The sequence below is a fragment of the Homo sapiens genome, chromosome 9 (assembly GCF_000001405.40).
Source record: "Homo sapiens chromosome 9, GRCh38.p14 Primary Assembly".
Classification (NCBI taxonomy): domain Eukaryota; kingdom Metazoa; phylum Chordata; class Mammalia; order Primates; family Hominidae; genus Homo; species Homo sapiens.
This window is the reverse complement of record NC_000009.12, coordinates 95,726,162-95,736,823: the sequence shown is the minus strand read 5'-3', so window position 1 is coordinate 95,736,823 and position 10,662 is coordinate 95,726,162.

The following is a 10,662-nucleotide window of genomic DNA, read 5'->3' as shown; positions in this document are numbered from 1 at the left end:
CCCCCCTTGCTCATTAAAAGGCAGGCGGGGGCGGTGAAACATGAGGCGCCAGCATCAGACCAACTGGCTTCACATCCTGCTTAGCTTTTTACCAGCTGCAGGACTTTGTAACTTACCTCATTGTCAGTTTTCCTACCTGCACAATGGGAATAATAATAATGCTCCCTTTGGAAAGTTGTTGGCGGGGCTCTGTGGCAGTGCAAAGGGAGGGCTTAGGAGGGTCTGGCCACAGTGAGCTGTGAGTAGAGCTCAAGTGTGATCGCTCCTGGAGTTGTCGGCCTCCAGCCTCTCCACTAGGGGAGCCTATCTAAAACAGGACTTTTTCATTTACAAGGAGCTCTTCATCCTAAGGTGTTATCTCCATCTTTGCAATAGTTGTAAAGGTGAATTTACTTTAATACCTACCCAGGAAATAAAGAAAATTTATAGGGCCGGGTGCAGTGGCTCACGCCTGTAATCCCAGCACTTTGGGAGGCCGAGGCAGGCGGATCACGAGGTCAGGAGATCGAGACCATCCTGGCTAACACGGTGAAACCCCGTCTCTACTAAAAATTCAAAAAATTAGCCAGGTGTGGTGGCAGGTGCCTGTAGTCCCAGCTATTTGGGAGGCTGAGGCAGGAGAATGGCATGAACCCGGGAGGCGGAGCTTGCAGCGAGCCGAGATCATACCACTGCATTCCAGCCTGGGCGACAGAGCGAGACTCTGTCTCAAAAAAAAAAAAAGAAAAGAAAAGAAAATTTATATCAATTGTTGGTGGCTTCAATTACTAGATGTCTCCAAAATTTAAAACAAAGGATTATATTCATCAGCCCCTGGAGTTCAATACATGCATTCCTGCCCTGCCCTGTTCATTGAGCACCTGTGGGCCTTGATCTAGGAACTAGTTTCACAGAGATGAGTAAGACCTTATTCCTGCCCAAGAGGAGTTTATAGTTTACTGAGGGAGATGGACACAGGAGCAGGTAATTCCCCTACAATGTGATGCTTCCTCCAAAAGAGAAACTCACAAAGGGACAGTGATAGCTCAGATAAAAGGGGTGAGTAACTCTGCCTCCAGGTAGAGGTAGACGCAGTCTCTAGAGAAGCCTTGAGATATTACATTTAAATTGAATCTTAAAGGACGCACAAGAGTTCACCAGAAAGAAAAGAAGGGAGATGGAAAGGAAAGAAATGCATTCCAGAAGCAGCCATGGGTCCACAGACCTGGAGCTGTGTGGAGGGAGGTAGGGGTAGAAAGGGAGATATGATCAGAGCCAGATCAAGAAGGGCCTCCCAGGCAGGGCAAAGAAATTTGGACCTCATCTGCATGCAGTGGAGGAGTTTTTAAAGAGAAGGTGTCCAATTTTTTGTTCCACACTGGTGGTACAGTGGAGGAGCGATTGAAGCAGGAGAAGAAGATAAGAAGACAGGACATGCAAAGTGAACCTGGTCCCAGCACACCTGAAATGCATAATATGTGGAGAGGTCAAAAATGCACATCGCTTTCAAAAGGATGTTTGGGAGCCTCTCACGTGTGAAATTTTTAGAATCTCTCGTGAATAAGAATGCTGTTTGGAAAGATAGAATGAAGTAAAGTGTTTGCAGGAGAGGCAGGGAGAAGGATGGCCTGAGGCCCCATTCCATGGCCTTGCTTTGGTCAGGACCTCTGTTTTTATGCATGAGGTTCAAGCACCTTGCAACCAGGTGGTGATTAACCCAACCCAGGTTCAGAGACACCCACCATGATAGCCGTGAGTAAGACCAACTATTGGGCCTCCTTTCTTAGGCTTAGACTTTGGGCTACGGTGTACAAATCTCCACTATTCTCACAAGTCATTTTGTAAGAGTTTCCAGGTCGGTGGAGCTCTGGGCAGCCACAGAGAACAGGGAGGAAATGCTTTGGGGCAGCAGGGAAAGCCATTGGAAAGAAAGAAATGCAAGTCCACTGGGACTCTACAGAGCATTCAGAAGCAAGGGCAGCACGCTTGTTTGCAGGAAGGTGGCTCAGCTCTGCCTACATTGTCTCTGATGCCCAGCACAGCAGAAAACCACTTCAGAGGAACTGTAACATTCTAAGTGACTTTGACTGGTGAATGCAATAAAGTCCAAAAGGAAAGGGCAAATTCCCAAATTCCCCTTCCTTGCAGATGCAGTGTTTGACCAGATCTCCACCATGAGAGGGGTCCTCAGATGCTGCCCAGTGGAACTGAGGCATGCTCATTCTTTTTCGTCTTTATTCTTAAAATACACCACAAAAACATATTACTATTGCAGAGGAAAATTCTGCACCATAGCTTACTGATAAGAAATGCCTGATATTGGGATGAGCTCTTTCGTAGCTGTGGTTGCCATGGCAATATAATTCCCAGCCATCAGGGACATACTCCCCTTCCCTGGACATTTTTTTTTCTTCTGTGCATCTATTTACTAGTCATTGATCCAAGACCTACCAGGTCACCTCCCAATTCCTGCACTGCAGACAGCAATTTCACATAGAAACAGCCCATGACTAGCTGAATGGACCCCACATTTAGCTTTGGACCTCTCACCAAAGGCTGCACATCGGCGCCACACACACACACATCTGTGTCCCCATATCACAGCTGCATCAACAGAGGCGCAGGGCGGTTAAGGGACAGCCCTGGATCACCCAGTGAGCCCGTCTGCGCCAAGAATAAGATCTGGGCCTCATGACTCTTGCTCCATTCCCTTATTGCTCTCTGCCCTTATAAGGTGATTAAATGGTTCTTTTTCTCCTTGAAAAAGGCGAGGAGGGAGTGGTGGGAAGTGGAGAGGGGAAGGGTAGAAGGGGGCAAAATTAATTTGAATGCAACTATTTTGCCCAAGTCTCAGAACACTGTAGTTCTTTTATTCGTTTGGAATGAGTGGGTATACAGAACAGCTTTGTTTTTCAATTCATTAACTTCCACAGAAAAAGACCATCCTTTCTGTTTATACTAAAGGAACTGGATGTCAGAGCCATCGCCATGTGTGTGGTGTAAATAAGAAAGGCCACCAATGGAGATCCGTCCCTTTCATGATGAGAAAATAAAAGTTAGTTACTTGGGTTCCAGGGGAAGTTTCTTACTTACCAGATGTCAGCTTTTATGTTTTTTTTTGTTTTCAAGAAGTAGGTAAAGTAGCTGTGTTTTTAAATTCATTCCCTTTAATTTTTAGAACCCCAGTGACTTCTAAAGCACTTCTCTGGACATAAATGCTTTCTTTAATGGAAAAAGAAGGCATCCAGAAACTGCAACAGAGATGAGACATTCAGAGAACAAAGAGCCCCAGGTTATCATGGGGTAATTACCTCCCTGCAGCATGGAGCACAGAGTTGGGTGTCAGTAATTTTCCTACCTAGATAACTAGGCCCCCAAGGGGTTCTGTTATTGCTGTTGTAACATTTCTGTGGTAAAGGAATGTGTTATTTGGATACATCTGTTGAAAGAAGATGAATCTACTTGTGCACGTTGGCCAGAGATGACAAAGGGACATGAATACCAGATCTGGACTTTTCAAATGTTCCATCTGGACATTTTCTCCAGTCCCCGTTCTTGAGCTCTCTTGCCCCAAACAGCAATGTTTGGCAAGCTTTGTAATGAAGACGATGGTGTCGCTCATTTCATCTGTCTAGAACACTCTAAAAACAAAACTCTTAACTGCAGTGTGTTTATTACCCATTTCCAGTTCTACTTGCATAATTAAAATATACAGCAAAGAAAACATTTTTGTAATGTCAGTGATGACCCTTGAACTTTTGCTTTGCTCCATCAGTGTTGTTTGATTTACAAGGAAATGACAGTTTATTTCTGTCTTAAGCTTGTAATTTTCACCCGAGTCCAGCAGTGACCTCAAAGGCACAGGCCAACTTCCTGGGATCAGGGGTGGATCAGCAATTCAGACAAACAGGCTTCATTTCCAACTAAAAACTCAGGAAGCTTCGATGAACCTAAACTTCTCCCAGTCTGGAAGTTCAGAAGCCCAGTGGTTCACTCTAAATTTTAAACTGATTTTGGAATAAGTCAGCTTCACCTGAGCCCAAAGATAACATACCACCTAAAATAGGTGCAGATTTGAGGAATAAGTCTCCTCCTTTCACTAGAACAATTCTCATTCCTTTCATTCTCTTGTTTCCAGTTTTTTCCTGGTTGCTCCTAGCCAGTAGAAGTGGCTTATCAACAGACCTCTACTTCTGTTGAACTTCATTACGTAGCAAATAGAGAAAAACCTGCTCTGAGAAACCCATCTTCTCATTCTGTGACTCTCTGATCCTAAACAAGAAGCTTCATTAGCAGCTGGAAGCCCTTGTCTCCTATGGATTAGAGAGACTCCCATGGCTAATAACTAACATGCATGGGATTTCTTGGCTGACAGTGCTCAGTGTTAACCATTTTACCTGGAGCACACTCTTTTCCCTCACCACTCCCCACACTCAGTCCTTTACCAGATGATTTACTAAATCAAATTCACAACTTGTAACATGACTCCTAAAGTTCCTGATAATCTGGAGCTGCCCCTGAGTGCGCCCCCCAACAACCCTGGACTACACCACCACATTCCCCCTAGACTCATGGGATTCCCATGTGCTGTGCCCTCTGCCAGGAATGCTCTTCCTCCTGTTTCTATACCTGGATAAAACCCACTCATGAATCAAGTATCAGCTGAGAGTCCCCTTTTTAAGGGTAGCATTTCTTAAACACTCCTTGCCCCTGCAAACATAGCTTTTTATCCACTTCAGTAGTTCTTTATCTCTTTCATAGCACTTCTCATGACTCATCATTATATTTTTGTGTCATTATTAGATAAATAACAGTCTCCCTCTGTGGCTGTCTCCCAATACCCACTATCCTCTTCTTTAATGAAAGAATCCCAACTTTTATCTGGGCACATTGTTACCCACCTAAAAAGTCCACATTCTGGCCGGGCGCGGTGGCTCAAGCCTGTAATCCCAGCAGTTTGGGAGGCTGAGAGGGGCAGATGACGAGGTCAAGAGATCGAGACCATCCTGGCCAACATGGTAAAACCCTGTCTCTACTAAAAATGCAAAAATTAGCTGGGCGGGGTGGCATGTGCCTGTAGTCCCAGCTACTCGGGAGGCTGAGGCCGAAGAATCGCTTGAATCTGGGAGGCAGAGGTTGCAGTAAGCCAAGATCACGTCACTGCACTCCAGCCTGGTGACAGAGCGAGACTCTGTCTCAAAAAAAAAAAAAAAAAAAAAAGTCCACATCCATATTCCTCACCGTCTCTTATGGCTAGATGTGACCAGGAAATGAAATGCTGGTCAATAACATGTGTCCTTCCTTGTCATTTTTTCTGCTGACTGGAATGGAGATAATGAGGAGGGCTGCAGCTTGGGTAGCCATGTTGGATCATGAGGTGGAAGTCATAGGCTTAGAAGGTAGCAATGAAAAGAAAGGAGCCTGGGTTCCTGGGGATACCAAAGAGCTTCCACACCAGGCTTGGAGTGTTACATTTTAGTCTCCTCTTCATGTGAGAGAAATAAACTTTCATCTTGTTTAAGCTACTTCTGTTGTCATTAACCTATCTTAAATGAATAGTTTCAGAAGCGATGACTGCACCACCATTTTGCAGGAGAGACAAATAGCTGAGCACATCCTACGTCTTCTCCAGTGTGAGCCGGGGAGGAGACAGGCGCACGGGCAAGGTTCTAGGTCATCAGTTTTTGTTCTTCCTCATGCCATGGATTTGGGATCTATACAACATCTTTTTAGTCTCACAAGAAATCTTTTGGCAAAGATTTCTTTTCTCTCCTTGAATTTTTTTTTTTTTTTTTTTTTTTTTTTTTTTTTTTTGAGATAGAGTCTCACTCTGTAGCCCACGCTGGAGTGCAGAGGTGCAATCTTGGCTCATTGCAACCTCCGACTCCCCAGTTAAAGCGGTTTTCCTGCCTCAGCTTCCCGAGTAGCTGAGATTACAGGTGTGCCACCACGCCCAGCTAATTTTTGTGTTTTTAGTAGAGACGGGGTTTCACCATGTTGGCCAGGCTGGTCTCAATCTCCTGACCTCGTGCTCCACCCGCCTCAGCCTCCCAAAGGGCTGGGATTACAGGCTGAGCCACTGCCGGCGACCTTTGCTTCTTAGCACAGCCTGCCTGGCAATGAGGGCACCAAAATCATAGAATCAATTTTTCAGAGTTCATGCGTTAAAATTCTTAGGTGATATTACATTTGAAGATGCTGTAAATATGGCTTCATTACTTTAACTTGCAAAGAGAACAAAGAGAACTTGCAAAAAAAATACCTCAGGCGAATGTGCCTTGCAGAGCATGTGCCTTAAAAACGTCCTAGACAAAGGTGTGTAAACAGTAACTGGCCTTATCCAATGCAGGATTCACAGCGGCTAGGAAATGAAGCTTTAAGGTCAATCGAAAGGAAACAGGAGATAGTGCCTTTACAGGTCATCACCTACAAGAAGAAACCCATAGAATACTACTTTTTTTTTTTTTTTTTAGAAAAAAATAATTTATGACACCAATAAAAATAGGACTTGTGTTTTAGAAAATTACATCATGGGTTGGTAAACTGTGATCTCAGTTTTGTAAATAAAGCTTTATTGAAGCACAGCCACACCCATAACCTTCCTGATTCTGTGTGTCTGGCTGCTTTGGGACTTGAACTCCAGCAGTTGCAACAGAGACCCTATTGAGTCCGCAGTTTCTTTCTTCCTGCTGTAGAGTTCGTAGTCTCACCAACTCCAAGAATGAAGCTGCAGACCTTCGCAGTGAGTGTTACATCTCTTAAAGATGGCACAGACCCAAAAAGTGAGCAGCAAGATTTTTTGTGAGGACTGAAAGAACAAACCTTCTACAAACGTTCCCACTACTGCAGCACGTTCCTGTTACTGGCTGGGGTGGCCAGCTTTCATTCCTTTATTTGGCCCTGCCCACATCCTGCTGATTGGCCCATTTTACAGAGTGCTGATTGGTCCATTTTGCAGAGTGCTGATTGGTCCATTTTACATAACACTGATTGGTCCATTTTACAGAGTGCTGATTGGTGCATTACAATCCTCCAGCTTGACACAGAGTGCTGATTGGTGCATTTACAATCCTCCAGCTTGACACAGAGTGCTGATTGGTGAGTTTACAATCCTCTAGCTAGACAGAAAAGTTCTCCAAGTCCCCTCTCCACCCAGGAAATCCAGCTGGCTTCACCTCTCACTATTGCCCTCAAAGGCAAATATTTCCTCTCTGGTACTTCACAGAAAAAGATTTCCGACCTCTAGCTTATGTGATGGGGAGGCGTCTTTCTCAGCTCCTGCATTATGGTCCTGATGACTAGAGAGCAGAATGTCCTCCCACACACCGCATTGCCCCTCAGCCCTCACCTGGGCGCCCAGCATTTCCAAGCGGGCCTGTGGGGCATTTGCTGCCTCTGGCCTCTGGCCGAACCTGGCTCCTCTTTCCCCCGGGGTCTGCGGAAGGGCGGTGCGGGCCTCCCACGCGCACCCCCACGGAGTCCGGAGAAGGTGGAGACCCCAGGGAGGCCCCTGGGGACTGTGCCGTCCGCAGCGGCTCCTCCCCTCCTTGCAGCCCGCGGGACCCGGGCGGTGGAGGGGCCGGCAGTGAGCTGTCTCCAGCCCTACGGGCTCCCGCGGGGTCCTCTTCGGGACTCCTCTCCGGCTCCCGGAGGGTCCGGGCTGGCTTGGGGCGGGGCGGGCCCCGGGCCAGCCTGCGGGCGTCCTCCTCCTCCGCGATCACACACACTGTCACCGCGGAGGCTTAATTTCCTTCTCACTGTGTCCAGCCCACACACCAATGCAAAGTAGTCAGAAGCGCCCTTCTCCCCTCCCACGCAAATGAAGTCCTGTCCTGAGGGACACCTCAACGTCTCCCTTGGCCGAAAACAAGAGGCAGCTGCCCGCCTTCCTTGGTGCCCTGCTCCTTCACCGCACACGGGGACCTCGCCCGCTCTCCACCAGTGGGTTTGTGGGTGGTGGGTCTCATTCTCCAGGCTGCTGGGCCGGCGTGACCTTCGCTGGTCGCTTTCACTCGGCCCAGGTCGTTCTGTACCTCCACGTCCAGGAAACGGTCAGCAAGGAGCCTTCCTAGGTGACCGAAGGCCACCTTCATGTACCCCCTCTTCTAACGCCCACTCTTGGGAAGGTTATCCTGTCCATTACCAGTCCCCTTGACTTAAGCAGATGGCCCTGGCAAAAAATATAGAAGCGGATTTATGGATCATTGGCATGTAAGGACCTGGGACGATGGCTGAGCATGCAGGAAAATAATAATAACAGCTAACGTTTGCTCAAGGTTTACAGTGTCAGGCTTGACATATATTCTGTCACTTGATGCATAAAACAACTTTATGGTTGTAGGACCTAGCATTTTCCACAATCATAGGGAAATTCTTCAGAGACAGAGAGATTAAACGATATTCCAGGGTTGACTCAAACTCAGGCAATCTGACCGCCAATCACAGTTTTAAGCACCTGTGCTGTGCCTATCTTAATAGAGTCCTGTCGCAGGCTGCCGCTGCTGACGCACAGTGGTGCAGTTTTCCCAGGCAAACCTCATGAGTGCCTTTCAAAAGCTTTCGGCTTACCAGTTCCACATCTTGGAAATTTTCCAACCCAAATAATGAAAGGTATGGGTAAAGATGTGTGTGTAAGAATGTTCATAAAGTTTTTTTTAGTAATGTGAAAAATTAGTAACAACCTGAATATCCAACAATAGGGGACTAAGTATACTGTGGAATGTATTTCTGATAGACTATCACAAAAGCATTAACAATTATTTGTAAAAAATACTGAAATGGGATATTGTTTATATTGCTAAATGAATGTATCAGGTTATATAACAGTATTCCATAATTATAGGAAAATGCACATATAAATACAAAAAAGACTGGAAGATCATCATCATACCGAAAAATTGTTAACTGTGAGTTTTCTCTGGGTAGTGATATTTGGGGACTAATTTTAAAAAATGATGTTCTATCTCTTCCAAGTTTTCTGAACTATAATTAGAAAAAAAATCAATAAAAATCTTTATACGTATAATTGAGATAGAGGTCCATTCTCACATCTCTCACACCAAAAAGGATTACTCTATCACTTACTTTCACTTCCATGTAACTTACAACAAAGTGTGGAAAATGAAAGTCTCTGGATTCTATGTGGGCAATTGTCTTTTTTCCTCAACTCTGAAAGCATAGAAATAGATCTCTCATTGGTTAAAATAACTTTATAGTTGGGGTTGAAGAATAAAATCAAATAGCCTCCACCACCAAAGACAAAATGTCACCCATCTACTCTGGCCTAGCTCAGCCAGAACTGCCATTACTCAAAACTAGCTTCATCTACTTACACAAAATGCAATATATGCAAAAAGAGAGAAGCACTTCAGAAGAAATGCCCCTGTTTCTCTAGTGTTTATTTCAACAATAAATATCAGTGCTACCAAGCTAGATCTCATGAGGAAAAGCTGTAAACACAAATGGTTGCAAAGGTGTCCTTTGAGAAGATTGAGAGCTCGGAGTAGAGCTGGCAGAAAAAGGAGGAGGAGGAGGAGGATGAGACCAGGAAGAGGAAAGAGAAGGGGGGTGGGGAGAAGTGGAGGATCTGAGGATATAGGGGCCCAGGCTGGATTCCTGCAAGGGAGCTGAACTGATCTTGAGACCTTCCAAAGCTCTAGCACCTCACCTCCTGCACCAACAGCAGCATCATGTGGGAGCTTGATAGAAATGTAGACTCTGAGGCCTCGCCCAAGACCTACTGGATCAGAATCTCCACAAAACCACCAGGTTATTCATATGCCCATTAAAGTTAGAGAGACACTAACCTTGTATTTTGTCCAAAGCCCATGGCTATTTTGGAATTATTTAGACAAGATTGAGACTGTCTCCCATCTCTCTTTAGTGACCCCTAGTGGTAAACCCAAAAGGAACAAGATCTATATTACAGGATGACTGAATTTTGGTCTCCAACCTAAACCAACAACTGTCCAACCTTCAGCCGGTTGACCTATCCAAGGTCCAAGCACTTGGAAGATTAGGATCCTAGTTGGCCATCCTGGTTTAGAAAATCTTATGTAGTCCAATCCAAGCTGGAGTGTTTTTCTGCATATTGCTGCTGTTGGAACTCAAAGACAATGTTCCTGAGTGAGATTATTCTCTGTGTCTGAAAAACACTGATCCAGGTAACTTGGGATCTCTTGATAGAAGACATATCAAGATGGGCTATTACTCATGTTACTAAGTATACCTCATGTGCTTCCTCTCGGACTAGCCCTCATTGAGAAAGCTTTAGCTAAAAAAAGAAAAAAAAAGTGATGTTTCCTTGTTGCAGGCTGCTCAGGGTTCAACTGGACTTTCAATTTATATTGGGGTTTGAGTTTTGTAAGAAAAGTGGAAAAATTCAGGGCATTGTAGAGGTGAAAGAACTACCCTAGACATCATTTAGAACACTACCCAAAGTGTGTTTCACCTGTAGAATATTACTAGAAGTTACAAATAAGGGTTCCAGAGTCAAACTAGTTTGAGAAACACTGGATTGAACAAAGTTGGAAAGTTTGTTTTTTTACTGCAGGACATCTCAGGACTTTTATTCAGGTGCCTTGTAAATTCCTCGAGTTATTCTCTCATAGAAAACACACACACTTTTTTTGGACTCCTGGGGAAATATGATCTACGGAGCCTCAGGGCTGTGAAATATCTCAG